Raw genomic sequence first — 22,078 nt, forward strand, 5'->3', positions numbered from 1 at the left:
GTATAGCCACTTTGGAAAACCATTTGCAAATCTACTCAAGTTGAAGATACGCATACTCTATGACCGAATAATTCCACTTATAGGTATACAAACAGTTCCCAACTTATGAAGGTTCCACTAAATGATTTTCCAAATTTATGATGGTGCCAAACCATTGCAATTTTGTCACAACGTACAGCATTCAATAAATTACAAGACACTCAATAATTTATTATAAAATAGGCTTTGTGTTAGATGATTATGCCTAATTGTAAGTAAATATAAGTATTGTGAGCATATGTAGAGTAGGATAAAATACACTATGATATTTGGTAGATGAGGTGTATGCATCTTTAATTCATTACAGGTTTACTGAGATGTAACTCTATCGTGAGTCAAGAAGCATCTGTATATCGAACAGAAACGTGTGCGTATGTGTACCAAAAGAAATGTATGAGAATTTTCTTAAGAGTACTGCTTAGAATAAGCTCCCAAATGGAAACAACCCAAGTTCCGATCAACAGGATAAATTGTAATTTATTAATATAATGGAAAAATGGACAGAAATGAAAATGAATGAACTACAACTCATACAACCTAAGAATCAAAAAGCACAATACTGAATGAAAGAAGGAAGGCCCAAAAGGATTCTGTTCCCATAAAATTCAAAATCAGGCAAAAAGGGCCAAGCACGGTGGCTCACGCCTATAAACCAGCACTTTGGGAGGCCGAGGCAGGTAAATCGCCTGAGGTCAGGAGTTCGAGACCAGCCTGGCCAATACGGTGAAACCCCATTTCTACTAAAAACACAAAAATTAGCTGGGCGTGGTGGCAGGAGCCTGTAATCCCAGCTACTTGGAAGGCGGAAGCAGAACAGCTTGAACCCTGGAGGCAGAGGTTGCAGTGGGCTGAGATCGTGCCATTGCACTCTAGCCTGGGCGACAAGAGCGAAGCTCCGTCTCTTAAAAAAAGAAAAAAAAATCCCAACAAAATCAGGCAAAAGAGAAGTAGAACTACCACCCTCCATACACACACAAAAAGCACAGAACTTATCACCACCAAAGCTGGGACACTGATTATTCACTCAAGTAAGGAGAATGTTATTTATTATACAAGAGGACTACACAGGGGGCTTCTGAATTACTGGCATTATTTTATTTCTTGACCTGGACAAGAGTTACGTAGATGTTTACTATATAATTATCTGTTAAGCTGCATCTATTTTTTCTTTCGTTCTATATACTTTTCCATATGTACGTGACATTGTACAACATAAAATTTTAAAACTAAAAGATCTCAGAAAAATATCAGTGAATCTTTGGGATGGGGATGTAAAATACAACTTGGAGAAAATGTGCTGCCACATCAATATGGAAAAAAACATGATGATGTTTATCATTTATCATTAGCTACCAAGTAATGTACTTTGTTAATAAAGTACAGTTTTATATTCACCTAAGAAATATCTACATTGAGCACCTGAGCACTTAAGCGTGCCATACACTGTTCTAGTCATTGGAAGACCACGAGTGAATAAAACAGCACTTACAAAAAGGCACTGTTTTACAAAAACAGTGAGGGGAAGGACAATAAGCAAAAATAAAATGTGGTAAAGGGAAAAGTGAGGGTCATACTACATTCCATAGGGTAATCAGGGACACCCTCATTGATAGGTGACATCTGAACAGACAGAGACCTAAAAGAATCAAGACACTACTACACGCAGAAATCCGGGGAATAGATTGAGAAAAATAGAAACCCCAAATGCCAAAGGACTTAAGGCAGGACTATGCTTGCAGTATTGAAGAAATGTAAAGGCCAGTCCGCAGGTGGGGGAAGAATAACTGATAGGGCAATTTGTAGAAAGTGAGGATGGGGGATGGGAGGGAGGGGAGAGATCATGCAGGCCACTGTAGAACTTTGTAAAGACTCTTCCTAAGAAAGATGGGCTGTAATCCCAGCACTCTGAGAGGCTGACGCAGAAGGATTTTTGAGGTCAGGAGTTTGAGACCAGCCTGGTGAACACAGGAGGCCCTGTATCTAAAAAAAGTTAGCTGCAGTGGCATATGCCCATGTCCTTGTTATTCAGGAGGCTGAGCTGGGGAGGATCACTTGAACCCAGGAATTCAAGGCTGCAGTGAGCTAGGATTGTGCCACTGCACTCCAGCCTGGACTATGACTTATGTATTAAAAACATCATTCTGGTCTTTTAAAAGGCACTATCAAAACAAGAACAGCTGCCAGCTCCTTTTCCACATAGAAAATTATGACATTCCCTTTGGATATATTTAGGTTCACAGAAAATAAAAATCAAATTCGTTTATTTAGAAGAACCATTCTTCTGGTTCGTATTAACAGCAAAATTCTTCCTTACAGTGTTTTTTTTTTCCTTCCTTTTTCTGAGACAGGGTCACGTTCTGTCATCCAAGCTGGAGTGTAGCAGCACAATCAAGGCTCACTGCAGCCTCCACCTCCTGGGCTTAAGTGATCTTCCCACCTAAGCCTCCCAAGTAGCTGTGACTAGGACTACAGGCACATGCCACCATGCCAGATAATTCTTTTTGTATAGATGGGATTTTATTATGTTGCCCAGGTTAGTTTCAAATTACTGGGCTCAATCCTTCTGCCTCGGCCTCCCAAAGGGCTGAAACAATAGGTGTGAGTCACCGTGTCCGGACTTTTTAAAAAAACAGTGAAAGTGTAACACTCCTGCTGTCCTTCAACTTAGACTGGCTAGTTTTGTTTTTTTAAGCTACGGTAAAATTTACCACCTTATCCCTTTTTAAGTGTAGAGTTCAGTAGTGTTAAATATATTAACACTATTGTTCACAGTGACCAGCTTTAAAGGCTTAAACAAATTTAGACTGATATTTATAAACTCTACTACAAATATGTGTGTGTGTATATATATATAGTTATTATTTAAGTAGTATACTTTATTCTTTTTTTTTTTTTTTTTTGAGACAGGGTATCGCTCTGTCACCTAGGCTGGACTGCAATGGCACAATCTTAGCTCACTGCAAACCTCCACCTCCCGGGTTCAAGCGATTCTCCTGCCTCAGTCTCCTGAGTAGCTGGGATTACAAGCGCCCACCACCACGACTGGCTAATTTTGCTATTTTTAGTAGAGATGGGGTTTCACTATGCTGACCAGGCTGGTCTCGAACTCCTGACCTCAGGTGATCCACCCACCTCGGACTCCCAAAGTGCTGGGATTAGAGGTGTGAGCCACCACGCCTGGCCTGTTTAAGTAGTATACTTTAATTTTCTGGTAGGCTCAATGAATGATGGTAGGGTACAAGCTGGGATGATATACAGGTCTTACTAATAAATTTGCATGAATGAGTGAAGTATCCAAAAATGAACTCAGAGTTGAAATTTATCATTTTGTGGCTGGTTACCACAAACATAATGAGCACAAGTTCACTTGACCGAGTTTTAAAAGGCCATTCAGACTTTTAGGGACCAGGATAACGCTTTAAATGCTATTCTCTCACAAGGGAAGTCAGTGGGTCAGTTCAAACTATTATGTGAATAAAATGTAATGATACAATACAGTAGCTGGATTGTTAAAGAATATAAATATACATAAAAATATACTATAGTACACAATTTTGAGATGTTAGTTTTTCTACTATTTTAATGCATGATGAAGAAAAGACCTGTGGTTTTTAAATTGGTAACACTGACAGTTCCGAATGCTTTTGGTGGAATCATCACATATTTCAGAATGCTGCTATTGCCTATCACTTCGCAATTTACACAAATGTGAGTTGTTTTTTTACCTCTGTGAAGAGACGGGCATCATCAGAAAGCATATTATAATCCTGCGCACATTTCTTTGCAGAATTCTGCAAAAACTTTAGGAACTCAGTAACTTCTTCGTTCACATGTTTTTTCATATCCTGATTTTTAAAAAAGTAGACATGTCTTGGGATAAAAAGTTTCATTAAAAAGAATCACATTCTTAATCATTGCTATAATAATTTGGACTTAAAGAATAATTAAAGTATCAAATCCAAAGCAGAAATCAAAGAAGTCAGTAAAAATTATTATGCAGTAATGATAAACTGTTATTAAAAACTCCACAAAATAGAAAAGCAAATGACTAAGACTATACAATACATGCTCAGGAACTGAGAAGTTGATTTTATAAAATGCTGTCAAAAAAAATTTTTTTTTTTAATTTATTTTTTTGAGACAGAATCTCGCTTTGTTGCCCAGGCTGGAGTGCAGTGGCACGATTTCGGCTCACTGCAACCTCCGCCTCCTGAGTAGCTGGGGCTGGCTATATAGGTGCCTGCCACCTCACCTGGCTAATTTTTTGTATTTTTAGTAGAGATGGGGTTTCGCCATGTTGGCCAAGCTGGTCTTGAACTCCTGATCTCAGGTGATCTACCTGCCTCAGCCTCCCAAAGTGTTGGGATTACAGGCATGAGCCACTGGGCCTGGCCTCAATTTTTTTTAAAAAGACATACATCCGAATAGAAAAACGAGCAAATAATATAAATAGGCAAGTTACCAAAGAAAAAATAAAAATGGCTTATACACATATGGAAAATGCTTACTGTCATTAGTAATCATAAATTAAATTAATGTAAAGCAAGAGATCATTTTTCCCATTTTAAATTAAAGGCAAAAAAGGTAATGTCCAATATTAGTGAAGATAGTTTTTTCTTTTTTTAAATTTGATTTCGATTTTCTTTTACCTTACCCCTGTAGGATTAGAGAAGATAGTTTTTTCAAAACCTGTCATACAACAGAGGTACAAACAAACTGGTTTAAACTTTTTGCAGAACAATTTATGCATGTGTAACTGCAGATCAAAGCTTTGAAAACATGCATAGGTTTTGATCTGGCAGTTTTAAGAATTTATCTTATGGAAACTATCATTGATATGAACAAAGATTTTGCTACAAAGATGTTCAGCATAGCATCATTTATATAATTGAGAATTTGGAAATGTCTTAATTGAAATAATTAAGCAATAATTTAAAATTGGTATAATCTATGTAAAATTCTACTGCTAGTACTTAAGATGAACTGGAGTGAGTCATGCTCAGAAGTAGAGCAAAATGCTTGAACTACAATGGAACCAACAAAAGAATTAAAGCACCATTGCTCTCTCAATCTCCTTACGTTTTCCATTTTAAAAAAAATGACGGGACCTAAAAACATAAATGTAAATTTAAGATAAAAATATTTCCTAATTTTTATTATTTTTTCCTGAAACTGAAGAACACAATACATACCAAGTACTGCAAGTAGTCATTTTTATTTATTCCAACAGCTTTGGAATTTGCAGGAATCTTTGCGTATTTAACCAACAAGTCCACATAACTCCTCTGCTCTCTCTGTGAGAAACGAGAGAAACGAGGATAAGGAACTCTTGGTTTTGGAAGAAGAACCATTCCAATTGTGGTTTTAACTTTTTCCTTTGCTTGAGTTGCTGAACTAACTGCCGGCTCATTTTCTACAGAACTTGCTGAGGCATTCAAATTTTCTCCTATACGTCTGGAAAACAAAATATAATTTACAAATATGTGCTTTTCACATGAAGATTACTATCATGGAACTTCATGATTCTCAATCACCAGGGAGAATATAGCGTGATTAACAGAGTAAACTCTGGATTATTATCTAACTCTGCCACCTGCATTTTGATGTTTAGCCATTTAAAGTAGATTAAGTATTCTGTGGCATATGATCACAATGCAAACTTACCTTCAATTACCTGATGGAGAGGAAGAGGTATACTTATTCAATTTAGAAGTTTTTTTCCCATTAATAAAGAGGGGAAAATCGTTCTTGCCAATTACACATGCAGGTACTTTATGTTTACATTTTATTAAATTTGAGTTTTTAATACTTAAATTCATCACTAAGATTTATCAGTTAATATGGTGAATAAAAGCTACTAAGAACAGAATGTAAAGGAATCACAAATTTGAGATTAACAAAATTCACTGAGATTCTAAATGTTCTGATTTCCTCTGCTTATCTCAAAAATTAAGAAAATTCTAACATTATGCACCATATTTTTTGAAAGCAGTATTGGTTTTGGAAAAGTTGTACAATCCTCTATCACTCTGGTACATGGCTGAGTTCATGGAAATGACTTTATGCTTTTCATGGATGCCAAAGAAAAATCCTGGCGTATCGTTAATGAAATGTACCAGAAGAGAAAGTAGTGAGTAGCTTCAGAACCTGTTACCATATGTGTTTATGGAATGTGTGAAGGTTGTTAGAATCACAATGGAGTCACCAATGTTTAAAAATCCCTTAATATCATGGAATACTATGCAGCCATAAAAAGGAATGAGATCATGTCCTTTGCAGGGGCACGAATGGAGCTGGAGGCCATTATCCTCAGCAAACTAACGCATGAACAGAAAACCAAACACCACATGTTCTCACTTATAAGTGGGAGCTGAAAAATGAGAACACATGGACACAGGGAAGGGAATACACATGGGCGTGTTGCGGGGTGGGGTTGGGGTAGGAGAACATTAGGAAAAATAGCTAATGCATGCTGGGCTTAATACCTAGGTGATGGGTTGGTAAGTACAACAAACAACCATGGCACACGTTTACCTACGTAACAAACCAGCGCATCCTGCACATGCACCCTGGAACTTAAAAAAAAACAAAAAACAAAAAACACAAAACCCCTGATAATAAGAGCTAGTGAAGGCCATGAAGACAGAGTTCTCATGTTTGAATTCCTCATAACAAAATATTTCTGCAAGGGTATTTGTTCAGGAACTGCCGGTCCTTGGATTGGTGTCACCTTTGTTATTCATCTTTCAAAGATCAAGTATAACTATTTCAAAACAATCAGATAATCCTAATTTTTTACTTTAAAAATCTTTGTCCTCCTTTACCTCCCTGAATACGCACATAGTTTACCATGGCATACATACTCCCATTGCAATGCTTTACTCCCAAATAAATTTCTTTTATTTTAGAGAGTTTCTCTGTTACTTAGATTCACAAATGCTACCCCTGCTTTTAAGAAGTCACCTTATCCAAATTAAAGTATATGAACACAACTTCCTTATCTTATTCATAATCCATCTCTATTTTTGCTATTCAGTTATTGTAATCTACATTTTAAATAAGAGACTTTAGAAGTGCATCAAAAACTATACTTCTTGGCCTGTACACTATAACTTCCACCACAGTTAACTGTTCCTATAACCTGGCTCCAAATTACACAACAATCCACAGAGGAAGGGAAACTAAAGAGAAAGATGGACATCTGCTGACTCATTCTTCATTCCTCCATTTGTTAATATTTATTAACTACCATGTGCCAGCCTATGCCAGGTACTGGAAATACAACACTAAGCATAGTACCATCTCCAACTCCAGGACATTATAATCAAGTGCATTAGACAAGTCAATGAAGAAGAAAGAAAAGTAGATATGTACATCAACACAATGGGACTATGGAGAACTTAGGTTTCCAAAGTGAACACACCAAATACATGACTGAAGAGAATCCTAAGAACATAATGATCAGGGATTAAGGGAAAGAAAGAGAAGAAAGAGAAAATATCCATAGCAGTGGTTCTCAATCATGACAGTTTTAATGTCCCCAGGGCATTCTGGAAGCCTGTAGGTGTATTTGGATTGTCACAAAAGGGGGGAATTAAAGGCATTCAGAAGGGGGAATACTAAATGCCTGCAATATGCAGTACTATCCTGCATATTTTAACAGTCCCCTTCAGGCTTTCTCTTACCAGGTACAAATAAGTCTAGTCCATTATTATCTCTTACCAGATACAAATAAGTCTAGTCTGTTATTATTTATCCTAACAGTACATTTTATTTTTCCTATGATTATTTTATGGTATGCTTTATTTTCTCTTAAATACTTTAAATGAACTTAAATAAATGAACTGTATTCATTTTAACTGATGCATCTCACTACCTCATTATATCTCATAATGCAGTAGTCTATGAGTTTAAATATTAAAAAATAAATTATTTCACACTTATAGGTATAGGATATATTTATTGTTTTTAAAAATTATATCTATTAATTTCATTTTAAGCTAGTAAAGGAGGTATCTTATTTCTTATAAATACCCGTCATAAAAAGTGGGAGGGTATCAGTCTGATACGGCTGAGAACTACTAATTTAGATCTGCATCTGGACAAAGGGTGAGTTACATTCCATCCAAAACTACTACTGATTAGTTTTAAATTAACTTTATAATACTAGAATAAATACGGCAAAAATTCCAAAAGATGACAACACTATTTTAGAAATATGTAGGTCCCCAAATAAAGCAAAAATATTTAAGACCACTCTCTCAGAGCTAAACAATGGATAAAAAACTACTCAAAGAGCTGATAAGGGGATGAGAGAAGAATTTTGGAAATTAAAATTAGGATGCTTAGGTTGGCTCTGAAAATAACACAGGTAAAAAAAAGACACAGCTACTAAAGTTTCTCAAATAATTGTATAAAAATAAGCATATTTTAGGTAAACAAAATGAACATTAACTGCTGATCTTGGGAGAAATGTATTACAGCAAATTGACTTCTCACTAGAAAACGTCTTGAGAGCTCTTCAAACCTAACAGTATTGTGTCTTCACTCTTAACAGTACTGCTTCACAGCTGTCACTCTGAATATGAGAACATGTCCGTCCTTGTGCCACAAACTGGCAAATTTAATTAAGCTGCTGCAGCAACAAGATGCTGACTCAGATACGCCAGACTAGGAATGTCAAGAAATTCTAGCAGTTTAAATTGGCTACATTCAGCAAAGAATGAAATGGTAGCACATCAAGATCATTTCCTTGTGCAGTGCTGTCAAGAACTTCATCAGGGTGTAAACCAAAAGCATCTGACAGGGTTTCTCTATTCACGTATACAGCATTATATTTTATTTTGGTTGATGGTTTGAAGTTTTGCCCCTGCATTTTGTCAACTACCCATTCTCCTTTCTCAAAGTTTCTATGGAAAAACAAAAAACAAAAAACAAACAGGGTAGAATCCAAAACTTTAAGTTTCCTATACTTTAAGTACTGGTTTGGTAGCTTATTTAAAAGTAGCATTTGGAAATGGTGCTTCTAGTCTCCATTTCAAGTCTACTAGTATCTTCTGAGTTTGATTTATTTTCCTAAGTTAAACGTGTTAGAGCTTTATATATATATATTTCCATTTAAAGCTATTTCCCCGCTTGTTTGCTTAAAACTCAGTTACGAGTATCTGCAAACAGAAACTTTAATTAAAAAAAAAAGGTAATCGTTTACAGTGGCTATTTCTACATGAACGGCTCATGGGTCATTTTAATATCCTCTTTTATTTTCTTGGGGGACTTTCCAAATATTCTATAATTTTTTTTCATGCTTCAAAGAAAAGTAACACAATATTAACTTTTTATATTATTCATTTGTAAAAACACTATTCGAGTTGTTCTTTCATTTTACAAACACTTATGGAGCACAGAGAGTAAAAGGAAAATTTTTTTTATCTTGAAATTAACAGAATAAAAGGCCTTGTTTTTCAACAAGAAAACAGTTGTAAACAATAAAGCCTGAAATAACTGTAATAATTATTACAGCAATTAAGAATTATTACAGTAATTACTGTAACAATGATTGTAATAATTCTTAATAAAACAAAGTTAGGAAAAAAGACTAGAAACATCATATCAATAACTTGTGTATTTTTTCTATAGTACAAAGTAAATTATACTAATAGATTATTTTGTGCTCTATAGAAATCTAAAGAAAACAAGGATATTCTAAGAAAAAAATATTTTAGGAGTTAGGTATGCCCAACTTCCAGCAAAATGCCTTTTTCCTTGTACAAAGCCAGGCTATAACCCACACCTGGGATATGCTGAACAGAAGTGGACTTGAAAAGAACCGTAAAAATAAACTTGGCACACTGGCGTGCACCTATAATCCCGTCTATTCAGGTGGCTGAGGTAGGAGGATCACCTGAGCCCAGGAATTTGAGTCTAGCCTGGGCAACATGGCAAGACACCAACTCTAAAATTAAAAATAAAATGAGAAGCAGTGGCAAGATGAAGATTAATACCTGAAATTTTTAGTGTGAAAAGAGAAAGGCTGAGAGAAAAGTTCAAATAAGTTGTTTTTTTGTTTTTTTTTAATTTGAGATAAGGTCTCAAATTTTGAGATGGGGTCTTGCTCTGTTGTCCAGAAGTGCAGTGGTGTGATCATGGCTCACTGTAGCCTTGACGTCCCAGGGTCAAGTGATCCTCCTACCTCAGTTTCCCAAGCAGCTGGGACCACATGTGCATGCCACCACACCAGCTAATTTTTAAATTATGTGTAGAGACAAGGTCTTGATATGTTGCCCGGGCTGGTCTTGAACTCCTGGCCTCAAGTGATCCTCTTGCCCCTAGCCTCCCAAAGTATTGTTATTATAGGCATGAGCTGCTGTGCCCAGCCAAGATTATTTGTGTGTGTGTGTGAGTGAGTGAGTGAGAGAGAGAGACACACACACAGAGACAGAGACAGAGAGGGTCTCACTCTGTTGCCCAGGCTGGAGTGCAGTGGCGTCATCCTCGCTCACTGCAGCCTCAACCTCCCTGGACTCAGGTGATCCTCACACCTCAGCCTCCCCAGTAGCTGAGACTGCAGGCACACAACCACCACACCTGGCTATTTTTTGTATTTTTGTAGAGACAGGGTCTCACCATGTTGCTCAGGCTTGTCTTGAACTCCTGGGCTCAAGTGATCCAGCTGCTCTGGCCTCCTAAAGGGCTGGTATTACAGGTGTGAGCCACCTACGCCTGACCTGAGATGATTCTTTTTTTAAAGATAGACATATGTTCTCTAAATCCCAGGACAACAGAATTTATAGGCATTTTTTGATCCAAATAAACAATGGCAATTCTTTAATTGGTAGTAAGTTTTAAGAAATTAGTTATCCTCAAAAAACTTTACAAGTTGAATAACAAATAGTTTTTAAAAATATCCATAAATGTACATACATAGGGAGTCTATTGCTTTAACTTTGTATATCTGACATTAGCACAGACATTATAATTATGCACTTTGGCAAGAGGAAAGTTGCTTCTGAAACTGCCTCTTTAAAACGTTTATTTTTAAAAAATTGTCTCTTTTTTTTGTAGACAGGATCTCACTCTGATGCCCAGGCAGGAATACAGTGGCACAATCACAACTCACTGCAGTCTCAAACTCCTGGGCTCAAGTGATCCTCGTGCCTCAGCCTCCTAAGTAAGACTATAGGTATGTGCCACTACACACAGCAAATTATTTTTGGAGAGACGGGGTCTCAATTTGTTGCCCAAGCTGGTCTCAGACTCAGGCCTCAAGTCATCTTCCTGCCTTACCCTTGCAAAATGCTGGGATTACAGGTGTGAGCCACTGAGCCTGGACTAAAATTGTCTCTTTAATACAACTTCTGCTTGTTTTTACGTAAACTTACACATTCATTTGATGGAATCAAAAAAGCACTTTTTTCTTTAATGCTTTTTAATGGCAATCTGGCAATATCTATCAAAATAAATATATATACGTACCCTCCACTGACAGTTTATCCTACTTATACAAACACATGTAAAAAGGCTGCTCACTGTTTCTAACAGTAAAGGAACGGAAACAAGCTAAATATCAACAGAGGTCAATTTAAAAATTATATACACCCAACTATAGAATACAATACAGCTATAGGCCGTGCATGGTGGCTCATGCCTGTAATCCCAGCAAGTGTAGTAGGATGTGCAGTAAATGGAAAGTTGTTAGTCCTGTTTTTAAATCCATTCTGCCAATCCATCCTTTGATTGGGGAGTTTAATTAATTTACATTTAAGTTATTGATAGGGAAGGACTTACTACTACTGTTTTCTGTATGTCTTACAGCTTTTTTGTTCCTTATTTCTTCCCAGTGAGCATATGTAAGTCTTTAAAGAAGTCTAAGTATAAATGAGAGAAAAGGTAAGAAAGTAATTAGGAGAATATGTGGAGTCCAGGGATTATTTAAAACAGGAAAACTTGAGCATGTTCAAATACTGATTAAGTTGGCCAGGCAGAGTGGCTCCTGGCTGTAACCCCAGCACTTTGGGAGGCCAAGTTGGAGAATCACTTGAAGCCAGGAGTTCAAGATCAACCGGGGCAACACAGCAAGACCATGTCTCTTCAAAAACAAAACAAAAACGAAAAAGTAATCAAGATGACTGAAAATGGGAAAGAACAAAGATAGAGGAGTAAGAGGGGACAACGGACAGAAAAGATAACTGAGAAAGCAGGAAAAGATGGGGAGATACGTTTCCTCCACTGTAAAAGGAGAAACGAAGAAAGTAAATGTTGAGCTTCCCTGGGGGAGTTTCCTAATTCCTCATTTGGTGTATTTATACATTTTTCTAGTAAACTCAATTACTTGGTTTCCGGATTCATCAACAACAGAGTAGAAATAGTCGATCAAAAAGCAAAGAAGAGCTACTACAGGCAAGTTGGCAGTAAGAAGTAAAAATTATCACTTAATAGTCATTAAATATCAGAGAGGAAAAAAACCTTTAGCAATTTGGCAATATCTATTAAAATATAAACTGTACATATTGTCTGACCAAACAATTCAATTTCTGTGAGTATATCTTACAGAAATAACTATAAAAATTCACCAATATATTGTTTTTAATTACCAAAAAAAAAGAAGAAAAGGGAACACAACGTTTTGCAACACAAGACTAGTTAAATGAATTAAAAGTACATCTATAGGCTATATAGTGAGGTAATATGCAACCATTAAGATTGAACTAAATGCTGGGGCATGAAAAGATATTCAAAATATCACTTTAAATGACAGATAATTGCAAAACAGTTTTATAGTATATTTTTAGTATGATCCCATTTTGTATTATATACCTGTATATGTATGTGTGCGTGTACACGTTATAAACAGTATACTGCTTAGTACTATACTAAACAATTATTAGTATAATATTGGTACCATACTAAAACATTTATTGGTATAAATGTTTCCATAGTATTATACTATATTGGTACAGTATTATAAAAATATTGGGATAGTTTAGCATAGTATTATAAAATACTATAAAATTGTTTTGCAGTTCATGTGTGGAGAAAGGAATGAAGGTCTGAAAAGATAAATACCAGTGTTAAAAGTTGTTTTACTTTAAACATTTCTATAATTTGAATGTTTAATACTAGAGATACACATAAAACTTCAACTATCAGAAAAACGACCATCAAATATGGAAATAAATAACCAAATAAACATATTACCTGTTGGATAAAACACGTAGTTCTTTTAAACTTGGAGCCATGGAATGATCTTTATAATTTTCTCGAGAGAAAAATGTCTTAAGGCCATTTTTGGGGGAAATATCCCTGTGAAACAAAGTAATTTACTTACATTTGACAATTCAAAATCTCATGCTAGACTATGACACATAATGGCACAATTGTAACTTACAATTTCATACCTTCTTACCCCCCCATCCCCAGACAATCTCTTCTTACTATGTTTAATTTCATATACCAGATCTGTGGGCTTAGAAGTGTTACTTCTTGGATAGCTTTAAACCCAGGCCCATTATGGAATTCTCCAGCTCCAATAATCAGCTCTACATTTTCTGTAGTACACAATTAAATAAATGTCACAGAGACTGGAAAGTTAAAGATAGAAAAGACTGAAGTATAATCAAGGGTCTGTCAAAGGCTGGCCTCACTTCTGGCTCTAGGACATAACATTAAGATACTTGGTTGCTGAAAACACTTCTCAACTTATTTTTGTTTCATGCACTACTGTGCTGAGCCAAAAGACACTACAAAGACTAAATAGCCTAGCTATTTTGTTTACTTTGGCAAATGGGATAACTGGTTTGCTAAAACCACCTCAAAGGTGATATGATTTTTCATAACACCATAATTAATTTAGAGACTAACATATTATATTCAATGCTTTCCATATAGTTAGGCATCCAAAAATGCTGTTTGAATGAAGGAATTAAAAACTTGAAAACACTGAATCCATTAACGTTACTAGGGAGGACAAAGGTCAGTAAAATTCCGTGGAAAAGGATAATTCCAAGGGCTACAATATTGTGCAAAGGTTCTAAACCACAACTAGTTCCACAATGCCGGTGGTATACAAGAGCATCTGTGCTACATCTGAATGCATACTTTATAGCACTGGCAAGGAATGCAAATGTGCATACCTCTTACCTAATCAAATGGTAACTTCTGGGTGTCCTAGTGCCCAGATAGGAAATTCTAGCATATTTGCTCCATACTCTTCTCCTTTTTAAACTGTTCTTAAAGGCATTTATCCAAAAAACTATATTAAGGTATTAATGGTAAAATTAGAAAGTCTTATTTGCTATGCATCAGTATAGTTTCTTATTACCTTGTCGTGGTATTGTATCTGTGACATCTCAATAAATTCTTAAGTTTCTGCACATCATATAAAAACAAAGTAAAGGGTCTCAGGGATTGTGAGCTCCCTGGGGATGGGAGTGTTGTTAGCAATAAACAAATACTCAATGAACATACTGACTTAATAGTCTGAGTCAGGTACTATTTTAATACTCTTTGTAACCATTTATAACATTTGATCCTCCTTGGCTGGCTTAGTAAATGTGTGTTAAAATGAACTAAAGCAGCACATGTATTAGCTAGATGGCTACAAAACCACTATATTATTTAACCAGGTTCTCTATTTGCAAAGTTCTCATACACTTTTAAAATACAGTCTATGCATTTATATCATTTGATATAGATTTCAATATAACAAAAAGCATGTCTATTCTTAAAGAGGGTCTTTTTTATTACTTGTATGGAAATGGGCCAAGGTTCTTGGACTCAAGAAAATTCCAGTATCTCTCCTTCACAGGAGACCAACAATAAATACCTGAGGGAATTATACCTAAAAATAATTTGAGTGCTGAACTGTGTTGTTCCACTATAGGAGTGGAAGTACAGTCAGCCATAACTCTAGCATTCCGTATGTGAAGATGAGGATAGGGTAAATTCTGAGACCCTAAACTTGTATTTTCTGTTTCCTCCAAATCTCTCTATGCCAGAAATCTATTTTCTTATGTCAACCATCAGCCCCACTACACTCCTCTTCAGTGGATTACAAAGTGGCTACAACTCACCAATTCAGTCCTGGTTCACTTATGACCATCTTGGAGCTCATCTTCCTAGATTTCTGCTTCACTCTAGCTCACAGTTCACAGCTGCCTGGCTGCGAAGGCTCCAAGAGGCAGGATCCCTCCAGAACTTACTCAGCTGAGTAAAAACAAAAGGCCAAGATCAAAAGCAAGTGATTGGCTAGGCCAGGTGCTATTAGGTGAGGAAGAATCTCTCCCTAAACATCTACCCTCAACAGACTGTGGCACCTAAAACAGAATACAGCAGACCCAAGGTTCTTTGTAGCAGAGCAGCAATGACGATACAGGACGAGCCCTTTTCCATTTAATCTACGCCGGGAGTGTTACTCTCAGGACACTCACTATGGAAATAAGAGCTGAAACAGAACGGTGTTCTCATTGCTTACATACTAGGCCACTTGATGGCATGGAACGGGAAGTCAACTCAGTTTTCCATTCCCTTACTGCCAAAATAAATCTTTTGTTTTCCCGACCATGCTTTGTTATGGGGCAGATTCTGGCAGGCACTTTATGACAAAAGCTACCTCGATATCAGGAATCTTAGGCCTTTCACAAAGAACCTCACATTTGAGAAGACTTGAGGTCAACTTAAGTGACATTTCACAAGATCACTTACAGACATCATCAGGACTACAAATCAGGCTTGATCTCTCATGTTCAGTACTTCTCCTGTGACCCCAGGCAGACTGATAAAGTGACCTGCGAGAACCTAATCAAATTTAGGAGTCGGTCTCTCGACACCGAACGGGCCCGACCGGCTCCCACTTAATCTACCTCTCACACTTCGACCCAGTGTGGAGCTGGGGGGGAATAGTCGAGGAAGGCAAAAGAAACGGCTGAGGGAAAGGGGACGCAAAGAGAGGGGAAACAAGGTTCCAGAAAAGCAGGTAAAAGGGCAAGCAAAGCAGGGGTAGGAGCCGCGCAGAGCCAGGAGCAAAGGGTCCTGGCCCGGCCGCCATGTTCCCTCCTCCCGCCCCTGCATGAGCACGCCCGCTGGCCCGGCAGCGCCCTCCCGTCCGCGTCTGGGCTGCAACACAGCCTTTCCGCCCACCTCATGGTCCGCGGCGGCTCTTGCCCAGGCCGCAGCCACACACCACACACGCTCCACCCCACTCCTCACATTGTCGCGCGCGCCCAAAAAAGACCATATTTAAAGGATGTGGCCGCGCCGACTCGGCCCTGCGTGATGACGTCTCAGCGACATAGTGGGCGGGGCCTTGCGTCTTGACGGCTGCTCCCCTCCTTTCCTCCCGCCACAAGCGCTCGCTGTGGTTCTGGCAGCGAAGTGCGAGACTGGGCTCGCCAGGCGGAAGTGGTTGGAGACTGCGTGTTTTCCTAGAAAGTCCTCGACCTTCGTCGGGGAGAGGAGGGGAGTGATAAATTGGAAGGCGGACAAGCGACAAGTGCGGTACTGGAAAGACCCAAACATACTTGGTTGTGACCTCAGGCAAGTTTCCTGACTTCCGTAACCCAAACTCCTCATATGTAAAATGGAGATGAAATTGTTACTGCTGCATCATACGGTTTTTTGGAAAGGATTAAATGAAACAAAGGAAGAAGCTGTGCTCTGCACAGTACCTGGCACATAGTAGGGCCTCATTAAGTGCTCCTTCACCTCCGCTCCACTCCCCATCCAGTTTTAGCTGTGAGTTCAAACACTAGTTTTGTTCTCATCCATTACGGAAAGATTTATTGACCGTAAACAGAGTACTTTGTGCTTGGTGCTGGGTACACATGGACTAAGACTGAATACTGATTTTTCCAGTGCTTTGGATCTCTGGCAATCTAAGACATTTACATTAAATACAATAGAAAGTAATAAACTACATAAGAAAGGTGTATAGATTGAGGTTAGAGGGAGAGGAATAGCTAGTGTGAGGGACAAAACGCAGTTTTGAATAGTATTGAGTACTTACATGTCAGTTGCTGCACTGAGCACCTGCCGTGTGAGCTCATTTGAAGAATGTGGGTATGTGGAATGAAGAGAAAGGGCGTTCTAGACAGACCAGCACAAGTGTCAAAAGACAAAAATTTGACACATCTAAAGATCTCAGTTGGCCTTATTGCGATTCTGGAATCAGGCAACACTTCATTCCATAAAATGGAATGAGTGTCCCAATGAGTGGAACAGAGGAGGTTGGCATTACGGACAGAAAAAAGGTCTGTAGAAAGTAGAAACAAAGAACAAAAAGCAGATTGATCATTTCAAAGTTACTTTCCTGGTAAGGTGGAGACAGACAGTACAATAGAAAGATAACTGATTGGTTAACATCAGGTTACTTCAAGTTACTCTTTGCTGTAGGGACTAAAACAGAGGAAATTCATTATCTTGCTGATTGAAAATTGAAACTGGCCTGTTACCTCTGTCTCCTGATTTCTTGGAGGGCCACATAACTCAGTTTCGGTGTGGTGAGCCTGAGTGATACCATTTTTATTTTAGTCTGGTCTCTTGGGGTCTAGTGCAGAAGTTCTAAACAATGGCCTCCTATAATTTTTTTTAATACAAGGAACTGCATAAACTTATTGCATAAACAGAATCTAGTGTGTGCTATTAGGGAAGCATGTTCTACATTTTATTTTAAGACAGAGTCTCCCAGACTGGAGTGCAGTGGTGTGATCTCAGCTCACTGCAACTTCTGCCACCTGGGTTCAAGCGATTCTCCTGCGTCAGTCTCCCTAGTAGCTGGGACTACAAGTGCATGCCACCACACTTGGCTAATTTTTGTATTTTTTTTTTAGTAGAGATGGGGTTTGCCAGGGTGATCTTTAACTCTTGACCTCAAGTGATCTGCCCACCTTGGCCTCCCTAAGTGCTGGGATTACAGGTGTGAGCCACTACCCCTGGCTGACATTTTAGACTGATTTAGAATATTGTTAGAAATTATGTTAATGTAAAAAATATGCTACAGGAAACCATAGGTAGTTTATTTTGCCTGGAATGCAAGGTCTCTGAAGAGTAGTAGAGGAAAAGGGGTTGGAAAAACTGGTTGAAGCTAGAACACGTAAGATTTTATAAGCCAGACTAAGGAAGTTTGACTTTATTGCATAAGAAATAAAATGCTAGGAAACAAACAAACAAAAAAGCTTACATAATGACACAATCAGAACTGGCTGGCTGTGCTTCAGGAAAGTTCACCTGGCAACCTACGGAATTCATTGAAGGGAGGAGGCCAGTTAGGAGACAGTGTTTGTGAATGCTTAAAAAAATCAACCACTACAATGCCTGGCACTGTGCAGATAGCATTTCTTTTTTTCTTTTTCTTTTTTCTTTTCTTTTCTTTTTTTTTTTTTTTTTGAGATGGAGTCTCCCTCTGTCGCCCAGGCTGGAGTATAGTGGGGCGATCTTGGCTCACTGCAACCTCTGCCTCTCGGGTTCAAGCGATTCTCCTGCCTCAGCCTCCTGAGTAGCTGGGATAACAGGTGCATACCACCACGCCCGGCTAATTTTTGTATTTTTAGTAGAGACAGGGTTTCACCATGTTGGTTAGGCTGGTCTTGAACTCCTGATCTCGTGATCCGCCCACCTCGGCCTCCCAAAATGCTGGGATTACAGGCGTGAGCCACCATGCCTGGCTGCAGATAGTATTTCTTATTAGGTAAGTGATGTGGATGGCTTGTGTAGGACAAAGGCAGCGTAAAAGTTCATGTGTTGGGTACTGTCTCACAAAGCATGCAGTCAGGAAGAGTTGGGGACACCTGACCTGGCCTGAAGGAACTGCTCTAATTGTTTAAGAGCTCATGCTGCTGGGAGGTACCTGCCCATGGTAGTGTGATATGGTAGCATTACCATACAGCTCTGTGTTGAGATTTCAGATCATCACCAAACAGTATGCTCTGAACTGGTATATCTGAGTTTCAATGGTTGCAAGATAGCACACAGAATCAGAATTTTTAGAATCAGAACACGATTTGGAGATTATCTAGTCCAACCCTCTTGTTTTCCTTACAAGGAAATGGGCTCGTTTCAAGATTGTCAAGTGACTTTTCCAACATCACATGATCAATGATAAAACTGATACTAAAACTCAGGTCTCATAATTCTTGCCAACGTGTGCATTGTGCATCTTCCCAAAATTCATATCTTATATGAATATGTAATTCATATGTCATATTATAGGAGCCTAATGGCCTCCTATAATTTTTGTTTACTACAAGGAATCCTAATGGTATTTGGAGGTGGTATCTTTAGGAGGTAAGTAGGTTTAGATTAAGACACAAGGGTGCAGCCCCAATGATGGAGTTCATGCCCTTGTCAGAAGAAGAGAAACCACAGCTCATTCTCTCCCCCAAGTGAAGACACAGCAAAAAGGTAGCCATCTGCAAGCTAGAAACAGAGTTCTCACCAGGAACCAAATTGGCTGGCAGCTGGATCTGGACTTCCAAGCCTCCAGAACTGTAAGAAAATAAATGTCTCTTGTTTAAGCCTCCCAGGCTATGGAATTGTCATAGCAGCCCCAGCGGAGTAACATAAAATACAATAAATATATGCATCCTTTCTTTTCTGTTTTGTGAACCACAAGAAGCTTAGTGGCAAGAACATGGACTTCTGGATTCCAGTAGTTATCTGTCTCAGGTTGGCATCTCAGTTTTTCTGTCTACTGGCACTGTGATCCTAGGCATGTCGTGTGTCCTCTTGAGTCTCAGTTTCTTCATCTGGATAATGGAGGCAGTGATACCTCACCTACAGAATTGTTGTGAGGACTAGAAGTAATATATATATAAAGTGCATTGCAAAGAGTAAATGTTCAACAAATACTAGCTATTAGTATATAATTTTTCTGAAAGAAAAATCAAAGATGAACAAAACACAGTGGAGATGGCACTGTACAAAGACCTATAATGCAAAGAAGAAATGGTGGGCCGGCCGCGGTGCCTCACGCCTGTAATCCCAGCACTTTGGGAGGCTGAGGTGGGTGGATCACCTGAGGTTGGGAGTTCGAGACCAGCCTGACCAACATGGAGAAACCCCGTGTCTACTAAAAATACAAAATTAGTCTGACGTGGTGGTGCATGCCTGTAATCCCAGCTACTTGGGAGGCTGAGGCAGGAGAATCGCTTGAACCCGGGAGGCATTGGTTGCACTGAGCCGAGATTGCGCCATTGCACTCCAGCCTGGGCAACAAGAGTGAAATCAGTCTCAAAAAAAAAAAAAAAAGGAAATGGTATACATATATATATAGAAGATTCCATGGGACCACAAATGAGTAAGAAATTCATTCTGATGGAGATAATTTAGAGATTACTTCAGAGGAGTTTAATTTATTTTGGGTCTTGAAGGATGTGTAGGAGTTCACTGGGTAGAAAAGGGGTTGTGGGTTTTAACTGTGGGAAAAAAAATCACAGAAGTGTGAACAGCTCCACATATTCTGGGGAAGAGGAAAAGCTGTTGCATCGCTGTGTTGGGGAAATGAAGGTTGTTGGACTGGAAATGGTGAAGCGGACTAGAGATGGTCTTCATTGCCATGCTAGAGATTTTGGACTTTATTCTCTGCATTATGGGGAATCTGTGTGTGTATATGTTTGTGTATCTGTGTTTTAAATAGCTTGAGTTATAAGCTACATACCATAAAATTCATTCATTCTAATTGTACCATTAGGTGACTTTTAGTAAATGTGTGAAGTTTCACAACCCTCAACATGATAAAGTTTTGGAACATTTCCATTAACCCCCAAATCCTGTGTGCCCATTTGTAATCAGTCCCTCTTTCCAGCCCCAGGCAACCATTAATCTACTTTCTGTCTCTATAGGTTTGCCTTTTCTGGACATTTCATTTAATGAAATCATACAATATGTTGTCTTTTGTGTCTGGATTCTTACCATAATGTTTTAAGGATCATCCATGTTGTAGCATGTATTAGTATTTTTTCCTTTCTGTTGCTCAATAGTAACTCATTTATGGATATGCCCTTTTTGTTTATCCCTTCAACATTTGATGAACATTTAGATGGTATCTACTTTTTGGCTTTTCTGAATAATGTTGCTGAGGGCATCATTTATGTGTACAACATTTATGTGAACATTTTATATGTACAAGTCTTTGTGTGAACTTTGCATTTTTATTTCCTTGAGTAGATAACTAGGAGTGGAATTGTTGTATGGTAAATTTATGTTTAACTTTTTTTTCTATGTTGCTGACACTGGTTTCAAACTCCTGGCCTCAGGTGATCCTCCCCTTGGCCTCCCAAAGTGCTCGATTACAGGTGTAAGCCATCATGCCCAGCCTATGTTTAACTTTTTAGAAAACTGTCAGATTGTTTCCCACAGCAATTGCACCATTTTATTCTGTGGATTTTTAAGCAGAAGAAAGATGCGGTTTTCCATTTCTGGTAAACTGGGGAACAAACAAACCCAGAAGTTGAATGAGAAGCCAATTTAATTTTGAAAGAGTTTATAACAGTGTGTACTTCTTTGAGTTTACAAAATGTTTAATTGGACCAGAATTTAAAAAAGAACTCTAAAAACTGCAAACATTAACTAAGCAATTACTAGGTGTTCATTTCTTCTTGGGGACCAAATCAAGACAGAGAAATGTGCAAGATCATCTTTCTTTTTTTAAATCAGTAATAAGTCATTTTCCTACCCCTCAGCTAATGAGCTGCCTTTGCTTGATTCGGGGTGAACTTGGCCTTGGAATAGTTTACAGCTTGGTAACTGCTTCACTCAGGGAATTGCCTCATGAATTTACAATCCTCCATAAGGTATTTTCAAAATGAGAATCCAGAAATAGTCCTCTAGCAAAAAGGTTTCAATCTAGTAATTGACTCAGAAACTTTTGGGGAAAATATTGTCGCTAATTGCAGTTTGTTCAAATCAGGCCTTTCAGCAATAAATGGTGTTTCAAGTGGAGAGGGAATCATCAATGCCAAAAACCAGCAAAATACTCTGGCCTAGGATATGCTATGTAAGAACAAGAATGGCTAAAGTTTTCGATTTTTTTCTACTCAGAAGATAATAT

The 22,078-nt window shown here is 38.2% G+C and overlaps 1 protein-coding gene and 1 long non-coding RNA gene across 17 annotated transcripts in view, besides 2 other annotated features; one reads left to right on the top strand and one right to left on the bottom strand.

Moving 5' to 3' along the window:
• ICE2 (interactor of little elongation complex ELL subunit 2) overlaps nucleotides 1-16,313 on the bottom strand; it is a 59,534-nt gene extending 43,221 nt beyond the window's left edge. For 5 of the 13 annotated variants that reach the window (NM_024611.6, XM_047433029.1, XM_047433031.1 and 2 more), the window contains exons 1-5: nucleotides 16,174-16,313; nucleotides 15,108-15,240; nucleotides 13,234-13,338; nucleotides 5,232-5,493; nucleotides 3,765-3,884 (exon numbers count right to left, since the gene is read on the bottom strand). In NM_024611.6, the coding sequence (NP_078887.2) occupies nucleotides 3,765-3,884; nucleotides 5,232-5,493; nucleotides 13,234-13,338; nucleotides 15,108-15,148 (528 nt within the window). In that variant the 5' untranslated portion in view covers nucleotides 15,149-15,240; nucleotides 16,174-16,313. Of the gene's footprint in view, nucleotides 1-3,764; nucleotides 3,885-5,231; nucleotides 5,494-13,233; nucleotides 13,340-15,107; nucleotides 15,241-15,738; nucleotides 15,832-16,173 lie in introns of those variants that run through there. The other 8 variants (XM_017022569.3, XM_047433027.1, XM_047433032.1 and 5 more) reach the window with 4 other exon arrangements.
• Nucleotides 15,145-15,264: an enhancer, noted in NCBI's record as "active region_9508". NCBI's record gives its function as "activates an Ori minimal core promoter by ATAC-STARR-seq in GM12878 lymphoblastoid cells {active_cell/tissue: GM12878}" and the evidence as "EXISTENCE:reporter gene assay evidence [ECO:0000049][PMID:35858748]".
• Nucleotides 15,587-16,114: an enhancer, noted in NCBI's record as "NANOG-H3K27ac-H3K4me1 hESC enhancer chr15:60770615-60771142 (GRCh37/hg19 assembly coordinates)". NCBI's record gives its function as "activates a minimal SCP1, AML or CMV promoter by ChIP-STARR-seq in naive H9 embryonic stem cells {active_cell/tissue: H9 hESC(naive)}" and the evidence as "EXISTENCE:reporter gene assay evidence [ECO:0000049][PMID:30033119]".
• The window catches only part of RORA-AS1 (RORA antisense RNA 1), a 151,462-nt gene continuing 145,732 nt past the window's right edge, over nucleotides 16,349-22,078 (top strand). For all 4 annotated transcript variants that reach the window (NR_120342.1, NR_120341.1, NR_120339.1 and 1 more), the window contains exon 1: nucleotides 16,349-16,569. This is a non-coding gene — a long non-coding RNA (RORA antisense RNA 1). The remainder of the gene's footprint in view (nucleotides 16,570-22,078) is intronic.

The sequence above is a fragment of the Homo sapiens genome, chromosome 15 (genome assembly GCF_000001405.40).
Source record: "Homo sapiens chromosome 15, GRCh38.p14 Primary Assembly".
In the NCBI taxonomy this organism is placed as follows: domain Eukaryota; kingdom Metazoa; phylum Chordata; class Mammalia; order Primates; family Hominidae; genus Homo; species Homo sapiens.